Genomic DNA, 12176 nt, shown 5'->3' with positions numbered 1-12176 from the left:
CTGTGTCCTTACATGGTGGAAGGGGCGAGAGAACTTTCTGGGGCCCTTTTTCTAAGGGCACTGATTCCACTCATGAGGCTCTACCTTATGACCTCATCACCTCCCAAAGGCCATGCCTCCCAATACCATCACCTTTTGGTGAGGATTTCAGTATATGAATTTGGGGTGGGACATAGACATGCAGACCATAGCAGACTCTTAACCTCAACAATGCATGAGTGCATATTTATTCTAAACCAAATTAAGACACAGGAAGCATGATTATTTTTGTGCGTGTGCCATTTAAGATTTGAAGGGCTGCTGTGTAGTCGAAGTATCACAGACATTCTACAGGGTCCCTAGCGGTGTACCTGTGATCCATGAAACTTACCTAGAGGTGGATTTTTGTCTCCCTAAAAGGAAAACCCACACAATAGAGCTGGTGGAATGTGGAACAGACCTACCCCTAAACGAATTGAAATATCACTGCCTATCGCTGGAGGCTGGGCAGGCCTTGGCAAGGGTGTTGTGGGTTTAACTTAGTCATCAATTGGGTGATACAACTACATGGGAATTATATAACCAGATAGGAAACTGCAGCCATTGAATTTTATTTCTTTTGAAAACACACTGATACCTGTTACTTCAATTACTCTTTAAACATGAATTAAGCACATTAGCTACTGTTTCCTGCTTTTTGTAGGCTTCCTAATGAATAAAGGTGGATGCAACTTCAGATCTTCTGACCTATTGTGGATCTGTTCATTCTCCTTTCTATCAGGGTTACACTCTATTATTGCTACTGTATCTTTGTTTGCAACTAATTTGGCCACCCAGGTTATATACTCAGACTATGGTTTCCATATGTGGACAATATGCAGTGTATCTGTCTTCCCACAAAACAAAACAAAATGACATCATTTTCCAAGTGTCTCATAGGTGTTCATAGCCAGGGGCAACGTTTCTGTAGGAACACCTTACTTGCATTTTGTTCCCTTAACAATCCTGAAATGTTTAGTCTCTCTAGCAAGCTGTTACATAACAGCAACAGGCTATGAGTCACTTAGGGATATAGGGGATTCTGCTAAGTAAACAAAATCCGGGCATTTTAGTTACTTCTTCACAACAGGTGTGGAGATTGTGGGTGGTTCATTTAGAACAAAGGTCTCATATTTTAAGATTCGAATTCAAGGGCACCTAGTGCTTTTTTCTAGGATGGACACAGGGCAGGAGATCAAATTACGTTGTTCAATTCATATTTTATTTTATTTTATTTTACTTTATTTTATTTTGAGGCAGGGTCTTGCTCTATTGCCCAGGCTGGAATGCAGTTGTCTGATTATAGCTCACTGCAGCCTCCACCTCCTGAGCTCAAGTGATCCTCCCACCTTAGCCTCCTGAGTAGCTGGAACTACAGGTGCGTGCTACCACACCAGCTAATTTTTTTGTATTTTTTGTAGAGACAGGGGTCTCATCATGTTGCCCACCTGGTCTTGAAATCCTGGGCTCAAGTGCTCCTCCTGCCTTGGCCTCCCCAAGTGTTGGGATCACAGGCGTCAGCCACCGCGCCCAACCTGAAAAGCTCTCATATTTTAAGACTCTAATTCATGTGTACTTACTGCTTTTTTCTAGGACAAACAGAGAGTAGGAGGTCAAATTATGTTGTTCAATTCAGTTATTTTTAAAATGTATCCACTTACATAGTCTAACTTGCAGTAAGCACCTTAATAAACCATTTTAATGAAAGGATGGTGGAAGGTAAAGTCCCTAAACTGGGGATGATGATCATGAGATATACGTTGTGATAATTGTGGTGATACAATTAGACGGGGAATACATAACCCAATCAGAGCCAGTCAGGGCAGGGGGTTGGGGTAGCTCCCTGCAGGCAAGATTCCAGGTAATGGCTAGATGTGAGAGACCAGGATCCCACTGGCTAGGAGAAAACAGCGGGAGCCAGAGGATGCGGGGAACACAACAGGTATTCTGTGTCTTCTCCCCACCTTCCCCACTAAAAAAAATTCCATGTCTGCTCGAAATTTTGAAATAGGACCTTATTTGGAAATTGAGTCTTTGTAAATGTAATTAGTACGGGATGTCAAGATGAAGTCATGCTGGATTCAGTACCCTAAATGCAATGACAGGTGTACTTGTAAGAGACAGAAGAGGAGATACAGATACAGAGGTGAAGGCCATGTGGAGACAGAGGCAGAGACTGGATTGATGCAGCCACAAGCCCAGGGATGCCTGGAGCCCCCAGGAGCTGGGAGAGGCAGGAAGGACCCTCCCCTAGAGCCTCCAGAGGGAACTAAGGACACCTGTAGTGGCTTAAACTGTGGTCTTGGAAAGATATATCTATGTCCTAATGCCCGGATCCTGTGAATGGGACCTCATTTGCAAATAGGGTCTTTGCAGATATACCTAAGTCAAGGATCTCAAAATGAGATCATCCTGGATTAGGTTGGGCCCTAAATGCAATGGCAGGTGTCCTTCTAGGAGACGGAAGAGGATACACAGACACAGAGGAGAAGGCCACATGGAGATGGAGACAGGGACTGCAGTGATGCAGCCACAGGTCCAGGAATGCCAAGGATTGCCAGTGGCTACTGGAAGCTAGGGAGAGGCCAAGAAGAGAACTAGGAGATCAAAAATGACTTACTTTTACATTTAAAAATAACTAAAAGAGTATAATTGGATTATTGGCAACACAAAGGGTAAATGCTTGAGAGGCTGGATACCCCATTCTCTGTGATGTGATTGTTATGTATTGCATGCCTGTATCAAAACATTGCAGATATCCCATAAACATATACACCTCCTATGTACCCACAAAAATTAACGAATTTTGAAAAAAACAGAACTGGGAGATAATACATTTATGTTGCTTTCAGCCACCCAGTAGGAGGTCATTTTTTTTTTAATCTTCTTTTAATTGTCATTTCTGGCCAGGTGTGTTGACTTACGCCTGTAAGGCCAGTACTCTGGGAGGCCGAGGTGGGCAGATCACCTGAGGTCAGGAGTTCGTGACCAGCCTGGCCAACATGGTGAAAGCTGGCCTCTACTAAAAATACAAAAATTAGCCAGGCATGGTGGTGTGCACCTGTAATCCCAGCTACTGAGGGATGAGAATGAGAATGAGGGATGAGGGATGAGAATCACTTGAACCCGGGAGGTGAAGGTTGCAGTGAGCCGAGATCGAGCCACTGCACTCCAGCCTGGGTGACAGAGTCAGAACCTGTCTCAAAAAAAAAATGTCATTTTATAGCTCCCCACTGCAGCTGCCCCCCACCCTTCCCTTTGATGACTATTTTTGCAGGCTTCAGGGGGACCAGGGAACAAAGCTAGGGCCTGGCAGGCCCACTACGCTGCCAGCTGGGAAAACAAGTCACAATTACAAATTATCACAACAATTAGTGCCTGTACTTGGGGGATCTGCAAAGTGAGGAGGCCCCAGCTCCCACTTGTATAGGGGTCCATTTGGCAGTGACGTTGCTCTGGAGATGATGATATTCCTTCAGCCTAAGGGAACTGATGGTGATGAACCCGGTGGCATCAACTGGCTCCTAATCGCCCTGCACACTCATGCTCACCAGCTCCTCGTTGTAGAGAGGCAGTGGGGACTCCTGTCCGAGGATGTATACCTGGCCCTTGAAGACGGACACCTGCACTTTCCCTTCCACTAGCTCCTGGGACTTGACGATGTAGTGGCGGACAAATTCACACTCAGGGCTGTGCCAGAAACCGGTGTACAGCAGCTCAGCAAATTTCAAGCCCAGGCCTTATTTGATTTTGCGCACTTCCCGATCCATGGTGAAGGCCTGGATGTGTGAATGAGCATGGTAAAGGATGGTGCCTGCTGGGGTCTCATAGATGCCTCAGGACTTCATTGTAATGAAATGGTTCTCCACGATGTCAATATGGCCCAGGCCATGCTTGCTTGCAGCTTGGTTCAGGTACATGAAGAGCTCCTAGGAGGTCTGGTGGGTGGCGCCATCCTTGACGTTGGTCACCTTCACAGGGACCCCTTTTTTGGACTCAATCTCGAGAATGTCAGTGGTGTTGGGGGCTTTGGTGAGGTCCTTAGTCTTCATGTAGAGACCTGGAGGTGCTTATGGTACTTGGGTTTCTCCAGAATTCCAGCCTCGTAGCTGATATGCATGAGGTTCTCGTCTATGCTCCACGGGTTCTTGAGAGTGACTGGGATGGGAATCCGATGTTGCTTTGCGTATTCCATGAGATCATTAAGGCCCTTGAACCAGCTGTAAAACTCGGGCATCCTCCAGGAAGCAATGACCTTAATCTGAGGGCCAGTGAGCAGGTGAGCTCAAACAGGACATGATCGTTCCCCTTTCCCATGACGCCGTAGGATACATACTTGGTCCCCTCCTGCTGGGTGATTTCCACTTGTTTGTGGGCGATGCAGGGCCTAGCCAGAGAGGTGCCCAGGAGGTAGTAGTCCTCATACAGGATGCTGGACTGGATGGCTGGCCAGATGAACTCCTCCACAAAGTCCCTGCTGACATCATCAATGAACACCTTTTTGGCCCCAAGCTTCCATGCCTTCTTCCTGTCATCCTCGAAGTCTTCCTTCTGGCTGATTTTGGCCAGGTAGGCAATGACATCATGGCCTTGTTCCTTCAGCCACATGAGGATGCAGGAGGTGTCCAGGCCACCACTGTGGGCCAGAACCATGGAGCCTTTGCTGGACACAGCGTCTGGGATTGGAGGTGTGAGTTCCCTGCATCTGGAATCTGTCTTCACAGTGCAGTGAACCACTAGGACCCCGGGCACCTGAGGCAGGTGATAGAGCAAGAGGAGGTAATTTTTTACAGCAAGTGTACCAAACTAATACCCTTCAGGTTAGAGGCAACATCAAAATCAATGAGAAATATCAGGTGGGTTAGCACACTGACCAAGAGTTTGGGTCAACACGGGCCCCAGGCCCGTGAGCCATGCTCAGACACTGGGTGGAGAGTGTGGTAGTGTACACTGAAAGAGCTTTGAATGCTCCTTTGGAGCACCATGGCCTTGGTGTGGCTGTCAGATGTGCTTGGATTCAGTGCCTATCAGCTGAGGAGCTGAGCCTATTGAGAACTCTGTGTGTCAAAATTGGTCAGCATTTGGGGCAGTTCTGGGCTATCAGGGGGAGACAAGATTCCATGGCAGACATGAGCCAGAGTCGAAGAGAGATGAGTATGGTGGTCTCTGGAAGCTGGAAATGATGTTCAGTTTATAGCCAGCCAGAAAGGGAGACCTCGATTCTACAACCACAAGAAACAATTCTGCCACCATCCTTGAAAAGCAAGGAAATGAATTCTGCCCAACATCTTCTCTAATAGAATGCAGCCCTACTGACACCTTTTTGCTATTGTTTTTTTTTTCACTTTTATAATTATAACCACTTTAAGGAATGATTTAATGTAAAAATTAGGAAAAAAATCAACATTTGTACCAGACCAAAGATCAGGTTTAAAAAATGAATACACCATACATCTGTTCAAAAGAGATTCCAGAAGGAAATTCACAAGGATTTTTCATTCTTGGTGAAGGTTTTTATTTTTTAAAATAACTGCCAACTTGTACTTGTGATTAAGGGTTACATGTGCAGGTTTATTACATTGTTACATTGCGTGACGCTGAGCCTACCGACATCTTGATTTTAGCCCAATGAAGCTCTTGTTGAACTTCTCACCTCCAGAATTACTGAACTGTAGAAGTGTAAGAAAATAAATTTGCATCATTTAAGCAACTAAGTTTATAGCAATTTGTGACAACAGCCACAGAAAATTAATAAGTTGGCAAATGGGTGAGGGCCTGTGAACTCTCTATCTTCCCAGGAGGCAGCCATTTATCCAGTAATAATGCACTGTACATCAGGAATTACTGGGCCACAACGTGAGTCATTTCTAGTGGTAGGAATTGACTGCCGACCCCCCCCCGCTGTACCTTGGTCTTCTCACCTGTGAGCCATTGGGCACCCTTGTGAGTAACTAGGAAGGTTAACAAAAGAGCCAGTGTCCCTGAACTACTCTTTCTCAAGGTGAAATTGACCTGTCATGGGCCCCGTCAGGGTTATCACTCAAAAAAGCCAATGAGCCAGTGTAAACAGGAGATTCCTTCAAATCAGAGTATCCTCTGGGAGATGCACGATCCGTATTCTACTTGCTTCAGAAACAACTCGGGTGTTCGCCAAAAATGTGCAGCCCCAGGTCAAACGCTCGGATTAGCTCAATGAAGGTTTCTGGAATGGGGCCTCCACTGTCTCATTTTCTGGTTCTCCGATGGGTCCTTCCTGGTATCACCGCCCCATAAACACCTTACCCTCAAATCCTAGTCTCTGCTTGTGCTTCTAGGGGGAACTCAGTTTCCTACATTTAATTCTGCTTAAACCCCTACCCCAATAAACCTACCATAACCCTACCAATAACTCTTTCAAGCAATCCATGTAAGTCGTATGAGCCATAGACAGATAAACTAAGTGTAAGAAATGTTGGAATAAACAGATCAAACATTTAGATTTTAACTCAAGTTTATTTATGCTTTTTCCAGTTGAAAAAGAAGGAAAGCTTATACAGAATAATGAACTCCCTAAAGGCAAAGGGAAAATATGTTTGCATGCTTATCTAATTAATATTGAAATCTGCATAAGATATTCATACATATTTAAGTGCATAACTTAAATGTATACATGTTTGAATAAATATGAATTTATTGTAATACATAAATATTTCATAATACACTATATATTGATGCTGATACATTTAAATGTATTGCTATAATACTATAAAATATAAATTTTATTTAGATGTTTTTAAGTTAGATAATTAGATAACTTGATTAGATAAACATTAGATATATTTAAATGAATGTATAATATATAATATACAAATATATAAATATAATATATGAATATATTATATAATAGAATGAATATATCATCAATAACATAGATATTACATATTACAGAAAGATATTTATGTTATGATGCAAGTTATATATTCATATGTAACTTTTTTTTTTGAGACAGAGTCTCACTGCGTCGCCCAGGCTGGAGTGCAGTGGCGAGATCTCAGCTTACTGCAACCTCCGCCTCCTGAGTTCAAGCAATTCTCTTGCCTCTGGTTCCCGAGTAGCCGCACCACGCCCGGCTAATTTTTGTATTTTTAGTAGAGATGGGGTTTCATCATGTTGACCAGGATGGTTTCGATCTCCTGACCTTATGATCCACCTGCGTTGGCCTCCCAAAGTGCTGGGATTACAGGCATGAGCCACCACGTGTAACTTATATGCAATATATTATATATAATATAATATAGTGTGTATTTCATGAATATGATATAATTTTATAATATATCTTATACACCTATATAACTTATAAAATATACTTAAAGACACATATACTTATATAATATATATTATTTGCATTTTTAACAATAAATATTATAATAATTACAATATTAAATCATTTGTGATACAATTATTAACAAATATACACAAGACAAAATTGCTCTAATAAATTTTGAAGAAACCAGTGATAGAACACGATGTGCCTGGAAATCAAGTGATCTCTTCTAGGCGTTATAAGATGTTAAAAATGGAGGCTAGGCGTAGTGGCTCACGCCTGTAATCCCAGAACTTTAGTAGGCCAAGGCAGGAGGATCGCTCGAGTCCAGGAGTTTGAGACCAGCCTGGGCAACACAATGAGACCTCGTCTCTACAAAAAATATAAATGTTAGCTGGGCATGGTGGTGCACACCTGCAGCCCCAGCTACTCAGGAGGTTGAGGCAGGAGGATTACCTGAGCCCAGGAGGTCAAGGCTACAGTGAGCCACAATCGCACCACTGCACTCCAGCCTGGGTGACAGATTGAGACCCTATCTCAAAAACGAAACAAAACAAAACAACAACAACAAACAGACGCTCACTTTCCTTTGAAGTTTCCATATTGCATAATTAGGAGATATTTACAAACAAATCTATTATCTTCGTTTCAGTAAATAAACTGGTATAAATCTTTTTTCCCCAAAAAAGCTGTTAGAAAAATCTTTAAAAATTGAAATGAGATAGTCTATGTTAAAATTAGGTTTTAGTAGGCTGGAGAAGCACATTCCTAAAACTACACAGGCAAGCATGTTACCAATGTGATATGGTTTGGCTGTGTCCCCACCCAAATCTCATCTTGAATTGTACTCTTGTAATTCCCATGTGTTGTGGGAGGGACCCAGTGGGAGATAATTTGAATCATGGGGGCGGTTTCCCCCATACTGTTCTCATGGTAGTGGGTGGGTCTCATGAGATCTGATGGTTTTATGAGGGGTTTCCGCTTTTGCATCTTCCTCATTTTCTCTTGCTGTCGCCATGTAAGAAGTGCCTTTCACCTGCTGCCATGATTCTGAGGCCTCTCCAGCAATATGGAACTGTAAGTCCAATGAAACCTCTTTTTCTTCCCAGTCTCAGATATGTCTTTATCAGCAGCGTGAAATGGACTAAGACACAATGCAATAAAAGTTTGCACTGAAATAGCATTCGGACTGATGAGGGCAGGTGTGCCAATTGAATGCCCCGGTGTCCTCCTTTCTCCCAGCCCTTGGCAGACATCAGTGATTTCTCGAAGTGATTTTCTCTGCTTAGCCCAGACACATCCCCAGACTGGTTCTCTATTTGCACTTCAGACAGGTTGCTACTGATCTGCAGGAGCAGACAGGCAAGACGGCACATGCTGTTCCCTGCTGAGATGTGGAGTGTAGCCAGGAGTTCCCATTCTGACCTCCCTGCCTGAGTAAAGAATTCAGCAAGTGGGATTAACACAATTTAGGCCCATGTGGAGTTCAATCTACATCAATACACTAGACATTGTGTGATTTATTAACTAGACAAATGATTAAATCAACAAATGCATTTTCTATCGCTTGACTTTTTAAATTATGACTTTTAGAAGCAGTGTAATTGGTTTTTAAAAAAATTTGTATTAATTTATGGGGTATAAGTGTGATTTTGTAACCTAGATAGATTGTGCAGTGGTGAAGTGTCCATCACTGGCATAATGAATATTGTGCCCATTAAGTAACTTCTTATCCCTCAGCCCCCTCCTACCCTTCCCGGTCAGCAATGTCTATTATTCCACACTCTACGCCTATTTGGAAACATTATTTAGCTCCCACTTATAAGTGAGAACACGTAGTATTTGTCTTTTTGTTTCTGAGTTGTTTTACTTAAGAAAATGACCACCACTTCCATTCATGTTGCTGCAAAAGACATGGTTGCATTCCTTTTTGTGGCTGAATAGTGTTCCAGTATGTACATATACCACATTTTCTTTATCCCATCATCCATTGATGGACACTTAGGTTGATTCCATATCTTTGCTATTGTAAATAGGGCTTCCAGTACAGGTATCTTTTCTTTTCATTTTGAGGTGGAGTCTCGCTCTGTCTTCCAGGCTGCAGTGCAGAGGTGCCATCTTGGCTCACTGCAACCTCTGCCTCCCAGGTTCAAGCAATTCTCCTGCCTCAGCCTCCTGAGTAGCTGGGGATACAGGCGTGCGCCACCACGACTGGCTAGTTTTTGTATTTTTATTAGAGACAGTGTTTCACCATGTTGGCCAGGCTGGTCTCGAACTCCTGACCTCTAGTGATCCACCTGCCTCAGCCTCCCAAAGTGCTGGGATTACAGGCATGAGCCACCCCGCCCAGCCAGTGCAAGTATCTTTTTGATATAATGATTTCTTTTCCTTTGGGTAGATATCCAGTAGTGGGTTGCTGGATTGAATGATAGTTCTATTTTTGGTCCTTTGAGAAATCTCCACACCCTTTTTCATCAAATTGTACTAATCTACATTCCCATGAACAGTGTGTAAGTGTTCCCTTTTCTCTGCATCCTCACCAACATCTGTTTGTTTGTTTTTTTAATAGTAGTCATTCTGACTGGTGTAGGATGAAATCTCATGGTATGTGAATAGTTATCTTGCTACAGCGTGTTTAAATGTACTTTGCTGTGTGGCTCACTTTACCATGAAACAAAATCACAGCCCATCATATCTTTTAGTGGCAATTAAAATGCTCACATGAGGCCAGGCGGGGTGGCTCACACCTGTAATCCCAGCACTTTGGCAGACTGAGGCAAGCGGATCACCTGAGGTCAGGAGTTCAAGACCAGCCTGGTCAACATGGCAAAACCCCATAGCCAGGTGTGGTGGTGCACGCCTGTAATCCCAGGTACTTGGGAGGCTGAGGCAGAAGAACCACTTGAACCCGGGAGGCGGAGGTTGCAGTGAGCCGAGATCATGCCACCGCACTGCAGCCTGGGCGACAGAGCGAGATTCTGTCTCAAAAACAAACCAACGAAAGTGCTTACATGTTAAGATCTACCATAAAATTTGGTATGCACAAAGAGATTACAGATAGGTCTAGGCTGAGTGTACTTGTAGCTCCATGAATCTACATAAAAATCAGTCATCTACTTTTTCATTTACAGCACTATTCATATGGAAGGGGGGCAGGGAAGTGCTGGGTAGAGGAGGGTGTGGTCCCTGGCTAGGGCTCCACCTGTGGGCCTGTGCCCACGGACCTAAGTGAGGACAGGCACTCCTGTTTTCCTGCCCAAATGTTGCATTTCCCAAGACCACTCTGGCCTGCTATGCCCCCAATCTGTGCTTATAAAAACCTCGAGACCTAGCAGGCAGACACACAAGTGCCTGGACATTGAGAGGAACACATCAGCAGAAGAAGACACAAGCAGCCGGACCTGGAGGGGAGCACGCCAGCGGAAGAGTGCAGCGGCGGACGGCAGCGGGCCGGCGGGCCATTGACCAGCAGAACTACACGGATTTTGGCGGGGAAGGTCAGAGGAAAGCCTGGATTGCTGAGCGGCCGGCAACTCCAGGGGAAAACCATCTCCCTTCTGGCTCCCCCATCTGCTGAGAGCTACCTCCACTCAATAAAACCTTGTACTCATTCTCCAAGCCCATGTGTGATCTGATTCTTCCGGTACACAAAGACAAGAAACCAGGGATACAGAAAGCCCTCCATCTTTGTGATAAGGTAGGGGGTCTAATTGAGCTGAGTAACACAAGCCGCTTATGGGTGGCTAAACTAAAAGAGCACTCTGTAACACACGCCCACTGGGGCTTCAGGAGCTATAAACATTCACCCCTAGATGCTGCCGAGGGGTCGGAGCCCCACAACCTCCCGGTCTGCCTGCACCTCCGAGGGGTTTGCGCAGTGGGGCACTGAAGGAGTGAGCCACACCCCCATCGCACGTCCTGTGAGGGAGATGAGGGAACTTTTCCCCTTTCACTGTGGCTGAGATAGTCAGATACCTACGTGACACTCATTTTCCCTTACTTCTTCACTGAGTGTAACAGGCTGCATACAGGTGCCCAGAGATGTCCACATCCTAATCCCTGGAGCCCATCAATATGTTATTTCATGTGGAAACAAATGACTTTGCAGATGTATTAGGTTGGTGCAAAAATAATGGCAAAAACCACGATTACTTTGGCACCAACCTAATATTAACGGCAAAAACTGCAATTACTTTTGCAGCAAGCTTATAATTAAGTTAAACATCCTGAGATGGGGAGATGAGCCTGGGTTGTCCAGGTGCACCCTGATGTAATCACAGGGTCCGTAGAAGAGGGAAGGAGGAGGGTCAGAAAGAGAAAGATTGGAAGACACTAGGCAGCTGGCTTTGAACATACAGAAAGGGACCACGGATTTCACCCAAGAGCCTCCAGAAGGAACACAGTCTTGCCAGCACCTTAATTTTGGACTTCTGAGCTCCAGAACTATAAGATAATACATTTGTGTTGTTATAATCCACTAAATGTGTGGTAATTGGTTACAGCAGCTGTAGGGGAAAAACACTCACATACCCACACACTATGCAATATGCTCAACAGAAAAATCTATTCTTTTCTAAAGATTCTTCCAATTGACACTTTGTAAGTTCAGTGGTGCTGGGAGCTCCTGGAGGGGGTCTTGTTTTGTTTGTTTTTCTTCCTTCCTCCTGTTCTCCTGATTTATGTCTGGAATACAGATGGGGTGGCTGAAGAGTCAGCAGCTTTTGTCTTTTTTTTTTTTTTTGAGATGGAGTCTGGCTCTGTCCAGGCTGGAGTGCAGTGGCACGATCTGGGCTCACTGCAACCGCCACCTCTTGGGTTCAAGCAATTCTTCTGCCTCAGCCTCCTGACTAGCTGG

General features: G+C 44.3%; 1 pseudogene, besides 1 other annotated feature; it reads right to left on the bottom strand.

Annotated features, from left to right (window-relative positions):
* On the bottom strand, positions 3229 to 4790 carry ASS1P4 (argininosuccinate synthetase 1 pseudogene 4; annotated as a pseudogene).
* Positions 8396 to 8946: an enhancer, noted in NCBI's record as "OCT4-NANOG hESC enhancer chrX:3280933-3281483 (GRCh37/hg19 assembly coordinates)". NCBI's record gives its function as "activates a minimal SCP1, AML or CMV promoter by ChIP-STARR-seq in naive H9 embryonic stem cells {active_cell/tissue: H9 hESC(naive)}" and the evidence as "EXISTENCE:reporter gene assay evidence [ECO:0000049][PMID:30033119]".

The sequence above is a fragment of the Homo sapiens genome, chromosome X (genome assembly GCF_000001405.40).
Source record: "Homo sapiens chromosome X, GRCh38.p14 Primary Assembly".
In the NCBI taxonomy this organism is placed as follows: Eukaryota; Metazoa; Chordata; class Mammalia; order Primates; family Hominidae; genus Homo; species Homo sapiens.
The sequence above is the reverse complement of the archived record's forward strand: the minus strand, read 5'-3'. Positions and strand labels throughout refer to the sequence as shown.